Source organism: Homo sapiens, chromosome 3, assembly GCF_000001405.40.
Source record: "Homo sapiens chromosome 3, GRCh38.p14 Primary Assembly".
Lineage (NCBI taxonomy): Eukaryota > Metazoa > Chordata > Mammalia > Primates > Hominidae > Homo > Homo sapiens.
Genome location: NC_000003.12, coordinates 194,768,782 through 194,788,252, shown reverse-complemented (window position 1 = coordinate 194,788,252; position 19,471 = coordinate 194,768,782). Strand labels below are relative to the sequence as shown.

General features: G+C 48.0%; 2 long non-coding RNA genes across 2 annotated transcripts in view, besides 4 other annotated features; both read right to left on the bottom strand.

The window, feature by feature from the left end:
• LOC105374292 (uncharacterized) overlaps window positions 1-19,471 on the bottom strand; it is a 120,878-nt gene that overhangs the window by 38,198 nt on the left and 63,209 nt on the right. The window contains exon 3 of the long non-coding RNA XR_001741084.2: window positions 15,982-16,097. This is a non-coding gene — a long non-coding RNA (uncharacterized LOC105374292). The remainder of the gene's footprint in view (window positions 1-15,981; window positions 16,098-19,471) is intronic.
• Window positions 4,421-5,620: an enhancer, noted in NCBI's record as "BRD4-independent group 4 enhancer chr3:194503362-194504561 (GRCh37/hg19 assembly coordinates)". NCBI's record gives its function as "activates an origin of replication core promoter dependent on BRD2, P300/CBP, MED14 and CDK7 cofactors, and independent of BRD4, by STARR-seq in HCT116 cells {active_cell/tissue: HCT116}" and the evidence as "EXISTENCE:reporter gene assay evidence [ECO:0000049][PMID:35650434]".
• The window catches only part of LINC01968 (long intergenic non-protein coding RNA 1968), a 73,748-nt gene continuing 60,361 nt past the window's right edge, over window positions 6,085-19,471 (bottom strand). Inside the window, exon 4 of the long non-coding RNA NR_037891.1 lies at window positions 6,085-8,791. This is a non-coding gene — a long non-coding RNA (long intergenic non-protein coding RNA 1968). The remainder of the gene's footprint in view (window positions 8,792-19,471) is intronic.
• Window positions 18,544-18,643: an enhancer, noted in NCBI's record as "active region_21036". NCBI's record gives its function as "activates an Ori minimal core promoter by ATAC-STARR-seq in GM12878 lymphoblastoid cells {active_cell/tissue: GM12878}" and the evidence as "EXISTENCE:reporter gene assay evidence [ECO:0000049][PMID:35858748]".
• Window positions 18,759-19,053: an enhancer, noted in NCBI's record as "tiled region #2136; HepG2 Activating DNase matched - State 4:PromP, and K562 Activating non-DNase unmatched - State 4:PromP". NCBI's record gives its function as "activates a minimal TATA promoter and a strong SV40 promoter by Sharpr-MPRA in HepG2 and K562 cells {active_cell/tissue: HepG2 | K562}" and the evidence as "EXISTENCE:reporter gene assay evidence [ECO:0000049][PMID:27701403]".
• Window positions 18,814-18,913: a silencer, noted in NCBI's record as "silent region_15029". NCBI's record gives its function as "represses an Ori minimal core promoter by ATAC-STARR-seq in GM12878 lymphoblastoid cells {active_cell/tissue: GM12878}" and the evidence as "EXISTENCE:reporter gene assay evidence [ECO:0000049][PMID:35858748]".

Sequence of the window (19,471 nt, the reverse complement as noted above, 5' to 3'; positions counted from 1 at the left end):
TTAACCTGGACCCTACACGATGCTATTCTGCCTGCTGTGCACTGGAAGTTCTACATACTAGGTCTCTTGCTGGTGACAGCCTGTGAGCTAGATGGCATTATCTATGTTGTTCAGATGAAGAAATAAGACACAGAGACATTAAGTAGTTTCATAAGGTCACGCAGCTCATGGTGGCAGAGTCAAGATTCAATTCCAAGTCCTTCTGACCACCGCCCAAGCTCTCTCTAGACAGTTGCACTGTTTCCCACCCGTATTTGTTGCATAGGGAAGACAGTTGCTATGGGGATCTCAGCTGTCCCTGCTACTTACAAGCCTACTGGCCCTTCGGGTGACATTTCACGAAAATTGTTGTCATTAATCGCCATCATCTCAATGATAAGTATACCTGTGTGTGCAGGTTGCCAAGGACTTCCGCATACTTCTCTCTCTTGGTCCCCAAGGTGAGCCAGGGCAATTCATAATATCCTTTATTCCACAGGGGCTGGTGGAGGCCAAGCATGAAGGATGGGTGCTAACATTTACTAAGTCCATGCTGTACTTCAAGGGCTTGGGGTTATGATTTAATTCTCACCACAGTCCTGTGAGATGACATTGCTGCCTCCATTTTACAGGTGAGGAAACAGCACAGAGAATATCCAGTGCCAGGTGAGATCATAGAAAAAATAGATTTTCCTAGAGGTTGTTCAAATTCTTTGCACTGTCCCACTCCCTGTCACTCCTGGTATCTTCCATCCACTTCACCTTCCCTTCCTTTTAAGGAAGTGCCCTGAAGTCTCCCCTTTCAAATTCCAATTCCTAATTTTGGTTATCTCAATTCATTCTTGAGAAGAAAACATTCAGAATGAATTAATCCTCAGGAAGAGCAGAGAGACTGCTAGCCTCTTGTCTCCCTGGGGCTTTGCAGAGAGGAGGTGCTTTCAACCTGAAGCGCCTCCAATTTTGGAATCGGGGCCATGGGACTGTGCAACCTGGAGCTGTGACTAGGGCAGCATCTCTGTGCCACTCCTCCCCACCCTCACCCCATCCCCACCTCCCATCTTAACATCCTGTGAGACCCCCAAGCCATAACCCAGAGGTCAATCATCATCACCCCTCCCTCTCCATTCCCACAGGTCCAATCCAGGACCAGTTCTGGCAGGGTACACCTGTCAGACTCTTCCAGAAGCTGCAGCCCTGCCCTAGGACCACCATGCCTCCCTAGGATTGCCCCACAACCTTCCCAAGGCCACCTCATACTGTTTACACCTCACAAGCACCTACTCCCTCTGCCCTCTTGCTTGCAGTACTGGTCACTCTCTGACCCTGCCCAGGCCCCCAGGCCCCCACCCTCTCTACTGCCGCCCCTCTGCCTGGCCTTTCACCTTGGAATTAATTCAACCGCAATCTCCTCCACTAGACTGCAGCCTTCATAAGAGCAGGAGACACAGCTGTCTTATTACCATTATATCCCCAGGGCCTAGCACAGCATCTGGCATATAGAAAGGGCTTAATAAACATTTGTTGGGTAGACAAATGAATGACTGAGTAACTGAATGAATGAGTTAGTAGTATTATGGCACAGTCTTTTAACATCTTGTACTTTTTGCCCCCTGCTTCTTTTTTTTTTTTTTTTTTTTGAGATGGAGTTTTGCTCTGTTGCCAGGCTGGAGTGCAATGGTGCCATCTCGGTTCACTGCAACCTCCGTCTCCCGGGTTCAAGCGATTCTCCTGCCTCAGCCTCCTGAGTAGCTGGGACTACAGTCATGCGCTACCATGTCTAGCTAATTTTTGTATTTTTAGTAGAGATGGGGTTTCACCATGTTGGCCAGGCTGGTCTCGATCTCTTGACCTTGTGATCCGCCCACGTCGGCCTCCCAAAGTGTTAGGATTACAGGCGTGAGCCATGGCGCCTGGCCTTGCCCCCTGCTTCTTTAACCCCAGTGAGCTTCTCCAGGGCCTTCAAGGATCGAGGCAGGGGCTGGCTGTGTGGCTTGGCCTGCTCTCCACCATGGGCCAGGTTCAGCCAACTGTCACTCCATCAGTTTCCCTATCTAACCCTTAGAATGCCCCATCAGCCTTCTACTCTCTTCCTTCCCTCTGCTCTCTGGTGAGGAGAAACAGTTTAATACATCCCCCTTCCTTGAATACAACTCTCCCCGCCCGACCCCTTCCTCAACACTGAGCCTCACCTCACACCCACATCTGCATGGCCCTGCCCAAATTTCCTGGGGCCACACTGGATTCTATTTATCTTCCTTCCTCGGGTCTGACCCTCATTGAGGCAGCTATGAGCTGTAATCTAAGGGATTAAGCATGTGGCTGAGAACTTTGGTAGCCAATGCCCTTGATCTATGTCTCCCTAATGGGCTGCTTCCCCAGAATGGCAGGTAATAAAAGTGCTTTTCATTGTTGTTCTCCAACACTTGGTATTTTCTCAGTTCTCTGCTACAGAGTCCAACTGCAATTGATTAAAACTTTAGACACACATAACAAGGTAATGTTCATGTTTATAGGAAGACTAAAGTGCTGAGATCAATATTGTTGTGCTAGGACCTAATCTCTGGACCTGCGTGTCCAGCCCATGGCTCTGTGGGACAGTCAGCACCCTGGTCACAGGCCCTCCTGAAGACACGCACCTCACAAATCTGAGTCTTGGGCTAAGGCCAGGATTATGTGTCCTATTTTCTGACAAAGACATAGGCGTGGTCACAGGCAGCAGAGCTTTGCAACCCTTAAACAACACAAAAAAACTTCTGCAATTTTCCTCCAAAGGAAAGGGAAACGATAAGAACACAAACAGTTGCTTCTCAAAACAGCCCTTAGTTATCTCAGTGAATTGGAAGTCATTGGTGTCAACATCATCAAAAAGCAGGCACTGAGTGCTCTTGGCAAATACTGCCCCCAAAAGACTCTCTCTAGGGGAATTTATGGAGCAAAGAAGGAACACCAATGTGTTAGGTTTTGCATACTTTTGACTTGTTCTAATTTTTACAATAAGAAGCGTGTTTTGTTTCTATAATTAAAAACAAATCATTTCCCTCTAAATGCTTTCCCCTTGAGGCATAGAATCAATGAACTGCAGGATCTCAAGGAGCCATAGAGCCCTCGGAGATCATCTAGCCCAACTCTCTCTTTGACAGAGGAGGAACCTGGGCTCACAAAAAAAAAAAAAAAAAAAAGGGACTCGTCCAAGATCACACAGCTCAAGGTCACACACCAGACAGAGGACTTTGGAATCCATTTTCCAGACACATTCATTTATGAAACTAATTGTTCCACAGCTAGTCCAATTGGAGCATGGGCTGCTACAGAAAGTGTGGCCTAAAATTTCCCCAAGAAAAAAGAAAGAAGCAATTACTGGTGTGCTAAAAAACTGAGTCTGACCATCCTGAACAGCGGCTTGTAAAAGCTCAATAACTGAGTGGGAAAATGCTGAGCCTCCTGGGATGAAAAAGCAATCTCTGCCTATGTGTCTACCGGTATTCCTATATTCCATCATCTGTGTATTGGGAGAGAGAAAAAAAGCATTTGAGTAAAAGAAACGGTATCACATGAACGAGGGTGGGGAAGGGTGGGAAGGGTGGGGGGTGGGCAGGTCAGGCAATTCTATGGCTTCTCCTTTCTCCAGCTCCAGGGAGAAAAGTCCAAGTTGCAAGAAGACAAGAGAGTGTGAAAGGAGACAGGCCCCCGGAGGCCCCTTGGAAACTGTGGAAGGAAGACACATGGCAACTCAAAGGGCTGGAGCATGATCTTCCCCTACAAGCCAGAGTAAATGAGGGAGACGAGGGAGTCCCTCTGGGGAGGTAAAGCACACACGTAATCACTCATGAGAAAGGCTGCATGAGCTCCATGAAGCCTGGACAACATCCCACTAATTTTTCCTATTGTTTGCTGGTGTCTAATGCTGGCTCCCCAAAAATCACCAAAGCAACCTGTTGATAAGAAACAACTGTATTTATTCTTACCTCAGCAAGGGAGAGTGCTACTTCCACTGAGTCTTAGGGGTGTCCAGGAAGGAGTCAGACAAAGTCAAGGAATGTATTGTATCGGGATTTTGAAGTCTGCTTGAAGGTGAGTCTTTAAATTGGGTGAGTTCCGGGTTAGCTTATCTGGGATTTTCTTGGGTTCCCCTTCCTGGTCCAAGATGGCACCCACGGCTGCAGGTGACATTCCCTCATACAAACGCACTCAGATATAGGAAAAAGCAAGTATTTGGTATTTTTTTTTATGAATGAAGGAAACATTCCCAGATGTCCTCCCAGGCTCCCCTTTCCATCTCATTGGCTAGGGTGAAGTCATATTCCCACGCCTCAGCCAATCACTCCAAAAAGAAAGGAATTCGCATAATTGGCCTAAACTCCTGAGGTAGATTCCAACTCTGATTCCATTTCTAAATTTCCAAGGTTCTTTCCAGTTCGAGAATCCTAAGTTTTGTAAGTAGCCACTCCTTTTTCAAAAAGCTGCTTTTCTGACTTATTTATAGCCCAGTTTTCCTATCCCACTCCCTGCCTTTGAGGCTGCAGTTTGCCCCTGGTGACACGTTTACCATGTGAACACTGCGAACACAGTCCCGATGAGCTGGGTACAGGCCCAGACAGTAAGGGCAGGCAGCTAATTGCAGTTTTACCCTCTCCCTCAGCTTCCCTACAAAAAAGAAATAAAAGGATGTTGGGAAGCAAAGTCTGAGCTGAGAAAATGTTGACTGCAGAGAGTATACTGTTTTGGATTCTCTATGAACCCCAGATCAGCATATACTTGATGGGCTGATCTCTCCAATCTGTCTAGGACTTCTGCAATAACCCGAAATAACCAGAGTTATCCTAAACTAACCCAAGCCAGCAGCCTAAAACCAAATCTGCCTTAGTGCCCAGGCCCTGGATGCCAGCACTTAGAGAAAGGGCAGTCTGGGCCTCTGGCTTTCACTGTGTATGACAGAGCCCTGCCTCCCAGTAAGACGCACACAGTGAGGATTCTCACAACGTAGGAGAGCACAGGTCAGATTCCGGGCAAGCAAACAATCAAAGGCAAATGTCCACCATGTGGTTTCAGAGGCTCTAGCTCTCCCCTCCCAGGCACCACCCTTCACCCTCTGCCCACTCACTCTCAGCACCACTCCCTGTGTTCTCAGACTGAGAAATGTATCCACATGACACACTAGCAACCCACTTTCATCAAGCAGCAAGCACGGAAGGAGGAAGGCAGAACTCTTGGTTGGCCATAATTTCTCATCCACAGAATGAAGAGGAAGAACGGAGCATCTGAGCACACTACATGACAAATGTGGAAGCTGGAAAACCAGCGTGGCTGGCTGCACGGAGGGGGCGTGAGGACTGGCATCAAGTAGATTTGCCCTGTTGCCGATGGCATACTGCCAAGGGGTGTTGGGTTGGAGGGCATCCATCCTGCGCCCAGTCACTGAAGCCCTGAGTGTTCCAGACCCAAGCTAGGGGCAAGGCAGGTGACAGAGAAGACAAACAGTGTGATCTGCTCTCAGACACGTCCCTGGAGCCCTGCTGGGGAGGTACGGCACACACGCAATCACTCATGAGAAAGGCTGCATGGGCTCCATGAAGGCTGGACAACAGCCCACTGAATCATTACTGGTTCTCCAGCCCCTAAAATAAAATTTAATCTTCATTGATTTCTTACTAGGAGCCCAGCTCCATGCTGTTTTCTACATGTGTGATTTCATTTAGCCTAACTGTATGAGTCAAGTTCTCCAGAAAAACAGAACCAATAGGGGATATATAAAAAGAGATTTAGTATAAGGAATTGACTTATACAGTTATGGAGACTGGCAAGTCCAAAATCTGCAGAGCTGATGTTCCGGTTCAAGTCAGAAGGATGACAGCTGCCATAGAACCAGGAAGTTCTGATAAAGGCCACCAAATAGGAAGAATTCTCTCTTACTAGGGGGAGGGTCAGACTTTTGTTCCACACAGGACTTCAACTTACTGGATAAAGCCCACTCACCTTATTATTAATTTTGGATGAGATTAACATTAAATGTTACAAAAATACCCACAATAATGTATGACCCCATACCTGGGCACCCCATGACCCAGGAAAGTTGACACATAAAATTAACCTTCAAACTTACAAATCTCCTAGTGTTATTTAGAGATGAGTTTATTGAGACCCAGCATGAAGTGGAGACCCAGGATTTGGAACAAGAGACTCTGATTCCAGAACTTGAAGCCTTAACCATTATACTATACTACCTCTAGCTCCAGGCATACGGCAGATGCTCAATATGTATTTTGTTGAATAAATGAATGAAGTACTAAAGAACGATGTAAGCAAAGCCCTGTGGTTGAGGTGACTAAGGGAAGCTTTCATGAATTTTACTAGGTTGCTGTTTCTAGAGTGGACAGGGAGGTTGGGAGAAGGAGATGGGTGGAGACAGAGGCTAAAGTGGCCCCATGATCCCCACCTCTTGGTGCCCACGCCCTGATGTAATCCCTACCTTTTGAGTATCAGCAGGAATTGTGACTTGATGCTAAGCAATAAAGTATAACAAAGGTGACAGCTGTTGCTTCTGTGATTACATAATGTGAGCTTGTACAGTCCATCTTATTAGAAGAGCCTCTCTCTCACCAGCTTTGAAGAAGCAAGCATTCATGTTGAGGAGGCTCATGTGGCAAGGAACTCAAGGCAACTGCCCACAACCAGCTAGAAACTGAGGGCAGCCTCCAGCCAACAGCCAACAACAAACTGGGGGCCTTGGTCCGATCACTTGCAAGAGCCTGAATCTTACCAACATATGCGAAGTTGGGAAGCAGATCCTTCTCTAGCTGAAGCTTGGATTGAGACCACAGTCCTGGCTGACATCTTCATTGCAGCCTTTCAGAGGACCCAGCTAAGCCACACCTGAATTCTTGACCCACAGAAATTATGAGATAATAAGTGTGTATTGTTTAAAGGTGCTAAGTATATGGTAATATTGTTACTCAGTAATAGACAGCACAGCCTCATTGGCAGAGAAAAGAGCAGAAGCCAAGAGCTGGAGTTGGAAAGGTATAGAGAACATCAGTCCATGCTTGTTCCATGTGGCTGAAGTCGCAGGAGGTGGAGTTTGGAAAAGTGGGTTGGTGCCAGACAGTGGTGGCTTTTGAAGACAGAATGAGTTGTCTGGGCTCTGTCCTGCGGGAAAGGAGTTTCCGGTGATGGCTAATCCCGAGAGTGCTCCATGTGGGAAGTGGGGAGGTCCCTTTGAGCAGCCCTCAAATCACGCATTGGTGAATGTCTACCTGCAAGTCTGGTCCAGGTCTCTGGGGCTTCCAAATGAAGCTCTGGCCAAGATCCTGGGATAGGAAACCCCAAGTCACACTTTGTGACTTTTTGACTCAAGTCAGCTTGTGGCTGGGTGCAGGTCAGAACCTAGAGCCCCTGGAGAACAAGGACACCTCGGAGTTGTGTTGACTCCCTCAACCTCCCCCGTCCTCTGTGCACTCAGCTCAGGACTGGACCCACAGTCAGTGCCCAAAAGGACTCCTGGAACTGTCGGTGAAGCAAAGTGGCTCAACCTCAACCTGCAGTAACATCAGCTCACTCCACAGCCAGTGGAGAAACAGCCATGGCACTTTAAAAATCACTGTAGGGGATACAAGCGTATGGTAAATAACTCATGGGGTTTAAAACTCAAGAGTTTGTAGCTGGATTAAAAAAAAATGATCTTATCAACTGGAAAGGATATTTAGTGGAGCCCCTTAGTGGGGTGTCTTTCCCACTGTAATACATTAGTTGAATGATTTAAAATCCCTTAGCTTGGTGAGGGCCCCAAGAGGCAGAAGGTCAAGCGCATCTGCCTGGCATTGAGACATCGTGGGGGAGCTTCAGCTCCTGGGAGAAGGAAGCTGCTCAGAGGTGAAGTGGGGTCCAGAAAAGAAAGAGCTGCCACGTACCTCGTATTTGGCCAAATGACTATTTGGAGAATGGTCAGGAGTGTGGTTCACTGGTTCTGATGGTCCTGGACCATTGATCTAGAGGAAAGTTCTGGTGTGGAAGAGAGACCAGGCCAGGATAGAGAGAAAGGTTATGGGAGACAGTGCAGCAGCTCGGGAACCACAACCCCACAGACATTTAAAACAGGAAGTCCTTCAAGACCAGAAATCACCAGAGAGTCCAGCCAATGCTCGGAGGAACAAAACACCCAATGGCAAACCAAGGCCACATTCCAACCATTCCAGTCACTGCCCCAGGTTCCAGAAAGAAAACAACTTTAAAGGGCATCCCAGAGGGAAGAATTTCATTCAGCCTACAGATACCTCCAGACCACGTTGGCACCAGGCTGGGCATAGGCCATGTCATGGGGTAAGATAAGGCTCCTGTCCTCCTGGAGCTCCAAGGTCAGTGGGCAGACAGCAGGAAGACAGTGACAGCTCTAACAGGAATCTGTCCAGTGTGCTCAGAGCACAGAGGAGGGAGGAGAGAAGCTGCCCGAGCAGAAGCAATTAGAACAGGGCCAAGTGCCACCAAGCAGACAAGGGTGGGGAGGACAACCCAGGCCAGGCAGCTACACAAGCCAAGTGGACCAAGACAGAACGCCATGGAAAGTGCACAGTGGAGATGAGGCTGGAAGCATGGCTTCGGGCCAGACTGAATCCCAAATCATATTTCTGAACAAGTCAACTGAGGAAGATCTCTGGCTCCTTCCTGAGTTGTCATCTACTCTGAGAGAAGAGTTTGGAATAGAGGCACAAATGTCCAAGAAATAGCTCTTGACTTCCCCAGGTACACGTTCCTCTTGGGCTGCCTCCATTAAGTTCTGGCACTATCTTCTTCATTGGGTCTCCCCTTGAATGTTGATTTCCTGCTGAAAGAGAAGCATCGGAGGCCTTTGATGGGGAGTGGACCCTGTTGTCTTACCCTTGTCACTCAAGGATCTTCTACTTCCTAAGACAATGAGAGTTCCTAAAACCCTTATTCTGGCGTTCCCTGCCCTCCACATGCTGGCCCCAGCTTCCTGTCCAGGGCGGTCTCCACCCCACCACTTCCCTCCCTATGGTGATCTTCTGCTCCAGAGCCTCCAGATCACTACAGCTCCGTCCACGCCTCTCCAGCTCCTGCTCACAGTTCTTTTCCCTGCCCCAATTCCACACACCTAAACACCTAAATGTCCATCTGTGTTAGTCAGGGTTCTCCACAGCAACAGAACCAGTAGGATGTGTGTATGCATATATATCTATACAGAGAAAGAGAGAGAGAGAGAGATTTATTTTGAAGAACTGACTCATGTGATTTTGGGGACTGGCTAGTCCAAAACCTACAGGGAAGGACAGTAGGCTGAAGACCTAGGAAAGAGTTGGTGTTGCAGTTTGAGTCCAAAGGTACTCTAGAGGCAAAGTTCCTTTTTTGTCAGGGAATATCAGACATTTCCCTTAAGGCCCTCAACTGATTGAATGAGGCTCATCCACATTATGGAGGATTATCTTTACTCAAAGTCTGCTGATTTAATTTTGACCAAATAACTAGACACCATAACCTAGCCAACTGACACAGGAAATTAGCCATCATACTATCCTCCAGGGCTCAGCTCAAATTTAACCTCCTCCTCCAATTCATTCCCACTTTCAACTGAAAATACTTGTCCCCTCCTAAATTGCCATAGTCCTGCATCCAGCTCTTCTCTTGGGACATTTAGAATTTGCTTCCCTATAGTACAATGATTTATATCTTTGTATTTGTTTTCCTACAAGACTGTGGGCACTTGAGTCAATCAAATCCTATTGCACCACTTAATGAATAGCTATATGACCTTGGGGGGGTTACTTAAACTCACTAAGTCTTGGTTTCTGCAAAACATGGAGATGATATAATACTTACCTTAAAGAATCCTTGAGACTTTCATGAGACAATGGACGCAAATTACTTAGCACAGCACCTGGCACATACTGAGTAATCCATTCACTTATTCATTCGTTGAGCACATATTACATGCCAGAAGTGAATGTGACAGACCAAGCCACTGCCCTGATGGGCAGAATTATATAAAAGGTAAATAAATGAATTTTTAAAATCTAACATAAGATACTAACAAGTACTTTGAAAAAAATAAACTAGAGGCTGGGCGTGGTGGCTCATGCCTGTAACCCCAACAATTTGGGAGGCTGATCACTGGAAAGCGTGACTTTCCAAGTGCCCAAGCCAAGGCAGCATTTGTGGGCACCCACAGAAGGACCCCTTAGAGCAGGAGCTCTGTTTCACTCTTCCTAAACCGGATGTTTCTGTTTACTAAACAGTCTTCAGCTGCTCATTGTGCACAGAACAAAGTAGTCGGTGAAGGTCTTTTCAGGACACAGGTGGCCATGCAAATGGGGTAATGGAGCAGAGACAAAGGTGTGGGAGGGTTGAGGAATGTTGAAGAACCCCAGAGCTGGCAGCACTGGGGACCTAAATGGGCAGTGAAACTTCCTCTCTACTAAAAACACAAAAATTAGCCAGGCGTGGTGGATGCCTATGGTCCCAGTTACTCAGGAGGCTGAAGTGGGAGAATCGCTTTAACCCGGGAGGCAGAGGTTGCAGTGAGCCCAGATCATGCCACTGCACTCCAGCCTGGGCAACAGAGCAAAACTCCATCTCAAAAGAAAAGAAAAGAAAAGAAAAGAAAAGAAAAGAAAAGAAAAGAAACTAGGATAAAGGATAGAGGTTTGAGGAGTAAGGAGGAGAGATCTAGTTTAGCAAAGACCTGAATTAAGAGAAGGAGCCAGCCATGCAAGACCTGGCGGAAGAACATTTCTGGCAGGACCAGCAGGAATCAGTCTGAGTTAATTTAACTTGTAACCCAGGGGCCAGGTCCTTCCTTTCCTCTGCCCCTCAGACTGTGTCTTCTGAGCTAGGGGAAACTGAGGAGATGAACCTTATCTTCAATCTACTCAGGACTTTGCCTTCAGATAGATGATCCTCGGCACCCAGGAACCCATGGTAATGGAGGCCACTGGCCATCACTGATCAGGGAGACTTCCCTTATCTGTTCCAAATGCTGCCTCGCCTGCTTCACTGCCTCATCTTCTCTAGTCTCCACTGAAGGTTTAAGTATTTCTGTACTCAGGGGTCATTGTCACTGTCATGTGCCACACAGAGTCAAAGAAGGGAGTGAGAGTTCTCAGGAGAGGGTACCCCAGGCCTTTGGAAACTAGCGATCCAACTTTCCCACACGTATCTCCCTTCTTCCCTAGCTCTCTGCTTTCTTTCTCCCTTCCCGCAGCCCTCTCCCTCCAGTGTTTCTCAACCAGGCACGGTATTGTCCTTCCAGCCCATCCTAGGAGTGCTTGGAAGAGGAATAAGCCATTTCTAATGGTCACAATGACTGGGAGACTCTACTGGCCTTTAGTGGACTGAGATCAGGAACACAATCCACCCTAGAATGTACAAGGTGGTACCACATAATAAAGAATTGTCCTGCCCAAAAGGTGAATGCAGACATGAACCTCTCAACATCCCTTCAAATGTTACCAAATCCCCTTCTTCCCTACCTGGATTCTGTCCTTTATCTCTTCAGGAAAAAATCAAGTCTCAGTCTCCCAAGTCCCACAGTGTGTCTTGTCCATTGGACAGCCTCACATGTGCAGTGTCAGTGCCTTCCATCCCCAAGTGGCTCTAACTGCTCCACCAAGAGAGGAAGAGCAACTCTGAGTACCTGCGGCTCCCTCAAAGGGAGGGGTCAGCTAATCCTGTGTCTGGGCCAGTGGAGAAAAATGGTGGAAAGGGCTTCCAAGCTGGGCTGTGTGTGGTTGATTCTGCCCTGAAGTAGCTAGAATCAAACACTTCTCACCACTGAGGAGATACATGTCCTTCCAAGTGCTACCCTTCTAGATGAGAAACATATATCACCCCTACTAACGCTTCCTCATTCCAGCTCTGACTTCCATTACAAACTTCCCGTATGAACTTGACACAGAGGTCCAAATTCATCTCCGTCAAAGGTAATAGCCATGGTGGTGGAAGAGGCAGATTCTCAGTTTGCCTTGCCATTTATCATCATCATCATCATCACCACCACCACCATTAATTATTACTATTATTAACCATATGAGGCCTTGCACAGAGGCAGACACTGGTGGGAGTTCTGTCACTGGAGGGTCCTAACTGCATGGGTGATTGTGTGGAAAAGATGGGTCAAGGCTGTGGTCCTTTGAACAAATGTCCTGGAGCCAAACTGACTTCCTGATTTGCTTAATGCGCTGCCTAATGCTTGACTAAAAGTGCTCAAGAAAAATCCTGTCAAGGAGAGGAAGGGTGCCAGGGGCACTGGAAGGGCTCATTTTTTATTCTTTAACTTAGGGGAATTGGCAGGAAAGGGGGTGATGACTACTCCCTGCAGAAAGCAAAGATCCAGATGGCTCCTGAGAGCCAGCTGGGAAAAGTTGCTCCTTGGCAGCCTCATTCTCCAGCATGACTTTCCAAATGCCCAAGCCAAGGCAGCATTTGTGGGGTGCCCACAGCAGGACCCGTTAGAGCAGGAGCTCTGTTTCACTCTTCCTAAACCGGATGTTTCTATTTACTGGACAATCTTCAGCTGCTCATTGTGCACAGAACAAAGTAGTCAGTGAGGGTCTTTTCGGGACACAGGTGGCCATGCAAATGGGGTAACGGAGCAGAGACAAAGGTGTGGGAGTGTTGAGGAATGTTGAAGAACCCCAGAGCTGGCAGCACCAGGGACCTGAATAGACGTGGAAAGGAGTGATTGCTAGCACCCTGAAAGTGAGCTGTGGACAGAGCCATTGACAGAGGCTGTGGCCAAACCACAGTCCAGCAGGATAAGAATCAGGGAAACAAATGCCTCGGTCTCAATATCTTCTTGCTGGCCAAAGGCAAAGAGCATGGGAACCCACTGATGCAACCTGTACAGGACAGCCTCCTGGCTACAGAGCAGGAAGCATGGGTTCTTTTACAAACCACTCCAAAATGTAGTGCCTTAAGACAATAACCATTGATTTAGCCCTTGGTTTTTCAGTCTAGCAATTCAGCAATTAAAGCTGGGCTCAACTGGACAGTTCTTCTCGTCTGCTGTAGGCTGATCTTGGCTATCCCAGCTGGGCTCACTCATGTGTCTGCAGTTGATTGGCGAGTTATCTAGGACCAGTCACTTTAGAATGGCTTTATTGGAGATGGTTAGAAAGATAGGGGCCTCTCTTGACATGGATCTCTCACTCTCCAGAGTGCTAGTCTGGACTTGTTTACAAAGCAGCCAAACAGTTTCAAGAATAGCAAGCAGGCAAGCCCCAAAGTACAACCACTTTTCATACTTCTGCCTACATCACACTTGCTTCTGTCCACTTGGATGAAATAAGTCACATGGTCATCACCAAATCAAGGGTTAGAAACACAGATTCTGGCTGGACATGGTGGCTCATGCTTGTAATCCCAGCACTTTGGGAGGCTGAGATGGGGCAATCACCTGAGGTCAGGAGTTCAAGACCAGCCTGGCCAACATGGTGAAACCCCATCTCTACTACAAATACAAAAAGTAGCTGGGCATGGTGGCAGATGCCTGTGATCCCAGCTATTCAGGAGGCTAAGGCAGGAGAATCACTTGAACCCAGGAGGCAGAGGTTGTAGTGAGCTGAGATCACACCACTGCACTCCAGCCTGGGCAATAGAGCATGACTCCATCTCAAATAAAAAAAAAAAAAGGAAAGAAAAAAAAAAGAAAAAGAAAAATAGATTCTATCACTTGAGAGGAGGGGAATAATATGCGGCTAGTGGCTAGTTTTCAACCTATAGTCTGTGCTGCAGCCACAGTTGCTCACATTCCTCCCACATGCAAAATATGTTCCACCATATCCCAGGACCTCTAAACCTGGATCCTTTGAATCTGGGATTATACCTATGGCAGTTGGTTTTTGCTGCATAATAAACGACCCCAACATTTAGAATGTTAAAACAACAACCATTTTTTAGCTCACAATTCTGCAGCTTGGCAATTTGGGCTGAGCTCAGCTGGGCAGTTCCTCTGCTCTGGGCCAGGCCCCACTGACCTCTGCTAGCACTCACTCAGGCATCTATGGTCGGCTGAGTGCCAGACGGGGAGCTTCAGTGCTTCTCCATCCACATAGCCTCTTAGCCTTCAGCATGCTCATTCATGTGGCAGCAGGATTCCAGGAGCAGCAAGAGAGGACAAACACCAGTGCGCAATCATTTTTCAAGTCTCTGCTTATGCAGAGACAACTGCTGACATCCCATTGACCAAGCAAGTTACATGTCAGAGCTCAGAATCAGAGTGGGAGAGCAGTCAAAGTTACAGCACAAGGGGGCATGGGTCCAGGAGGGGAATAACTAAGGATGGGTTTGCAAACAGTCTACCACTGTGGAGTGGAGACTAGATCTAGTGAGACAGACAATAGGCATCTCCCAAATCTAAAGTCCATAAAATGACACTCAAGTCTGTTCATAATGGGAACCACCTGTCTCCCCAGCGTCAACTCTCTCTAACCCCAACCACACCCTGTGTACTTTGCATCTGCCAAACTGACCTCTTCACAGTCTCATGTATCTGCCTGCCTTTTTCATCTTCCCGCTCACTGTTCTCTAGATTATTCCACATCTTTGCCTGACCAAATCCTGTATATCCTACTTGATCCAATTCAAAGCCACCTTCTCCCAGACATCTTTTCTAACATCCCATTCCCATCCCCTTCCCTCTCTCCCAACACCACTGAGCTGGACAGGACTCTGAATTCCCACCTGCAATTTCTAGAGCCCCCTCTGTGCCTCTTTTCAGGCACCTAGCATTGTGCACTTATCTGCAGGTGGATGTTCTCTCCTTCCTTGGACTGTGAGCCCCCATAGGGCTTGTGTGACTCATCCTTTATCCCTCCTCTGCCCTACTGCCCAGCACACACTAAATGTCCTATTGACCTAAGGAGGTCAGTACTGGCAAGCCAAAGACTGCAGAGCAGACGATGCGACAGAGCCAAGGAACGCCCTTCAGAGACGACCCAGCCAGGAACTCCAAGAAGTGACTAACAGGAAGTGTCAGAGAAGAGCATGAAAGAGCAGGATTTGGGAGACGAGAAAGAGCAGGGCTTTGGGCTTGCCACAAGGTAACCTGGCCCCTGAAGTCAGAGTCACGGGAAGACTGACCTCCACTCCATCTGAGGAAGAACTTCCCAGGAGAAATGCCCAGATTCAGAATGGGCTGGCAAGAAAAAGGGTGAGCCACCCCTCTACTGGCAGTGCATAAGCATTCCGGTTAACTTCTGAGAGTGTTTTTGTGGGGGCCTTATTCTATTTGCATTTGAGGTGTGCACATTAATAATTCTTTCATTAGACTCACGTTGCACCTTGGCACGCAGAGTGTGCACTCATGGGCTCACAGATGAAGGCATTTAATGAGCCGGCAGCTCTCCCCGCAAGGCAAGCCTGCACGGAGCTTGGCAGCAGGCTCATTCCCTCGGAGTCGGCTGGGCACAGCACATCATGTATCGCGGGCAAACTGGCTTTGTGTTTTCATTGGGGGTGGTAAGTGTGGGAGGGGGAAGTAGATGTATGGGGTAAGTGTTACTCTGAAAGAATTCTAAAATGTGAGAGAATGCCATTCCAGTGAATTTCCTACCACACACACCTGAACACCCTTGAGGGATGGGACATCCCTGCTCCTGTCAGAAACCAGGCTAAGCCCAGCGGTGCCTCTCACCGAGGGTAGGTGGAGGATGTAACTAGACAGCCCTTCCCTAACACAGATACTCTTTGACCAGCCCAACTTCCTTGTGTTCTAAGTGGTGGAACAGTGCCCCAGAGAGGGGATGTGGCCTCCCTAAATGCTAAGATGAGCCAGGACTCCTGCTCCTGGACCCAAGTGCCAGGACTAAAAGACTAGAGGGGGAACTTACACAGGGGAAAGGTGGCCTTAGGGCAGGCAGTGAGCCAAGAACCCCTTCCCAGGAGCTGGACCCAGAGTGATTCTTCAGTCCCTCCCAATAATGTCCCTGGGAATAAAACTCCCCATCTCCCGACGCCCTTCTCCATATATCCAAACCCTGCACATCCCACAAGGCTCACCTCAGATGCCAGCTCCTCCTTTCATCTTCCCATCAAACACCCCGACTCTAACCAGACGTGAGCTCTCTGGCCTCTTGGGGACTCTGCACTTCTTCATGGCTCAGGTCAGACTGCATCTGGAATTACAGTTAGATGTGCGTATACCTTCTTGATGACCCCTGACCATGAATTCCTTGGGCTTATCTTGCTCCTTCTCCTGACTCCCTCGCTCAATGCCCAGCCTAGGACCTGACTCAAATGCATTCAACAAACACAGGCTGGATTGCTGACATCCCTTTGCTTTTTGCCCACTAGCATTACAAGACCACATTGCTTACTGTTAGCCAGCACCAGGGCCTTCCCCACAAAGCAGACATACTTCCCTGTCTCCTTTCCACTTCTTTTGGATGAACAAGAACAGCCTCTTGCGCCTCCTTATTGCAAACTTCCTGGACACCCCCCACTGTCTCAGATAATCACCAGGGCTGAGGGGCATTCTCCAAAGCCCAGGAGGCCCTCAGTAGATAGGGTGTTGTTTGATGGACAGCTTTCCCTCCTGCGAAGCCCTGGTGAACAGCTCTAATGTCACCAGCAACTGCCATCTGACTCCCTAACACTGGCTGGAAGTCTTTTCCTATTTGCCCCCAGGAATGCCAAACTCAGTGAGCTGAGCTCTTCTTACAGCTGTCTGACTCCTTTGCATCAAACATTCCTCCTGAGATTGTAAGAACTAGAATGACTAGTTCCAGCCACTCACCTTCTTCTGCCTATGAGGAAGAATCCAATTAATGCCAAAATAGCCTATACTGTTCCAAAAGTCTGGCCTTTTCCAAAAACCCTAGCTCTTTCCACAAAGAAGCTCAAGAAGCTCCAGAAGAAATTCAGTGTTCTCCTCAAAAGCAGACACCAACTTGGTGGACCATAGGTGCATCCTGCAGAATCCCTAACAAGTAAGTGATTCAGAATGGAGGGGCTGAAAGAGAAGCAAATAGCCCCATGAGCCTGAGCCAGAGAAGCGGATGCTTGCAGACCTTGGAGAAAGTTTTCACCACCCTCATCAGCCCCATGGTTTCCCATTGTCTACAAAAAAGTTAGATTATTTTGTTCAGGATTCAGATACTTCACATCATGACTCCTATCATTCTAGTCTCATCTCCTTCTAAACTTCCAAGCCACTAGCCCCCTTGGAGCATTCATGCCTTTCAAATACACCCAACCCATTCCATTTACATGTTTTGTTCCAGCTACTGAAACATCTTTTATCTTAGGTTGGATTCTCAGACCCTTAGACAAGGATTCAAGTGCAAGTATATTTGGGACAGAAAAAACCAGCAGGATAGTGGGGAACAAAAAGAAGTCAATAAAGGGTACTTTTTTCAGCAGGTTCCCATTGTAGCAACTAACAGTTGATCCTACCTGGGAGACAGTGTAGGGCTCACTTCAGAATTGTCCTCAGCCAAGAGTAGAGAGAGGAAGTTGTGGGTATTTGTCCACCACTCCCATCAGTCACAGGTGTGGGTTTCTGCTGGGCGGGAGGGACATGGACTCTTCGGCATGCAAGTTCAGCTTGCACCAGTGAAAAGCCAAGGGGACACGGGCAGTGGGCCAAGGGGTCTGCTCCCCCTTTACGTCCCTCCTCCTTTCCCCACCACCACTTTTTAGTTTACCCAAATGACCCACTCATCAGGGTTCAATGCCATCTCCTCCCAAAAGCTTTTCTAACCTTTCATCAGAACCAATGACTCTTTCCTTTGGTTTCCACAAACAATCAGAGTACAACTGTGAGAAAAATCCTTTAGGTTTTACCCTTCACTCTGCTTAAGAGTGAAAGTCTTAATTGACAACTGGGCAGAATGGTGTTGGCGCGGCCAGGCGCGGTGGCTCATGCCTGTAATCCCAGCACTTTGGGAGGCCGAGGCAGGCAGATCACGAGGTCAGGAGGTCACAAGGTCAGGAGATCGAGACCATCCTGGCCAACATGATGAAACCCTGTCTCTACTAATAATACAAAAAATTAGCTGGGCATGGTAGCACGCGCCTGTAGTCCCAGCTACTCGGGAGGCTGAGGCAGGAGAATGGTGTGAACCCGGGAGGCAGAGGTTGCAGTGAGCCAAGATTGCACCACTTCACTCCAGCCTGGGCAACAGAGTAAGACTCTGTCTCAAAAAAAAAAAAAAAGAAAGAAAGAATGGTGTTGGCTCTCGTTCTCATTCCTTGATTTATTTCCTTTCTGCTTTGCATGAGGTGGTGTCTGTGACCCATGTACTCATAGCAAGTCTTTGAACCCATCAACATTAGAAATTAGAAAATACCTCTCAAAAAGCAGCATTGATTCTGTTGCCTAAATATATTCTTATTGCAAAAATAAAAATGTAAATGATGTCATTTGAAGCAGTGCATGGTTATTGCTCTTATAATACAATAGTAAGTCTTATTTGCATAAAGAGATATCTACAGTCCTATAAAAGTAAGAATGAATACCTAAATCCAAACTGCTCCTTCAAGTTACCTGGAACTGTGATATTTGCATACACCGAACCATCTACTCTTGTTCTGAAGAGGAGAGAATGAAAACTAAAGGAAACAAAGAATCAAAGAAGCCTTGAACCCACGGTGAGTGGAACCCTGAAGTGATCGGAGGACAGACTGGCATGTGGCAACCTTATTCTGTTCCTTCAAAGCAGCTACTGAATGTTGCGGTGAGCCCGGGAAGAGGACTGTCCTGCCTGCAGTCCTACAGAGGGAAGAGCTGTGCTTAATAAGTTAAAAAGCTGGGGCTTCTACCAAGCCACAGAAGAAGCCGGAGACAGTGTGTGCACATCTGCAAGCAAACAGACGCGTGTCTAACCCGGGGCGGCCGCGCTTCCCCTGCTTAGAAATCCATCATCTACAAGGGGTGGGGCCTGAGGAGCGCAACTCTCACTTGTTACTTTAGAAATCAATCATCTACAAGGGGTGGGGCCTGAGGAGAGCGGGCTTCCCCTGCTTAGAAATCAATCATCCAGAAGGGGTGGGGCCTGAGGAGCTTGGCTCTCACTTGTTACTTTAGAAATCAATCATCTACAAGGGGTGGGACCTGAGGAGGGCGGGCTTCCCCTACTTAGAAATCAATCACCCACAGGGGGTGGGGCCTGAGGAGCGCGGCTCTCACATGTTACTTGAGTTTTACCCAGCAGGTGGGAAGTCCAGAAGGCTGACTCGGTCTCTAAAATGCAGCAGAACCTGTGGCGACCACAGCCACCCAACAGCAAAAGAGGCAGCAGAGGCTGGGTGAGCACAGGACTGAGAATTCATGGAGAAAGTTCTTGAATTTAAGGGAGAGGTGAGACCATTTAATTGGCCAAAAAGGCCCAACTCTAAGAGCCGACCTGCAAGAAGCCAGCCCGGCAGCTTCTCCCATCACCACTCCCAGCTGCAGGTGGGCTGCCTGCTGTCCTTACCTCCCAGACAAGGGGGATCATGTCCTCCTTGGGGTCACCGTGGACCAGTGCGCACTTCTGTGGCCTGTTTT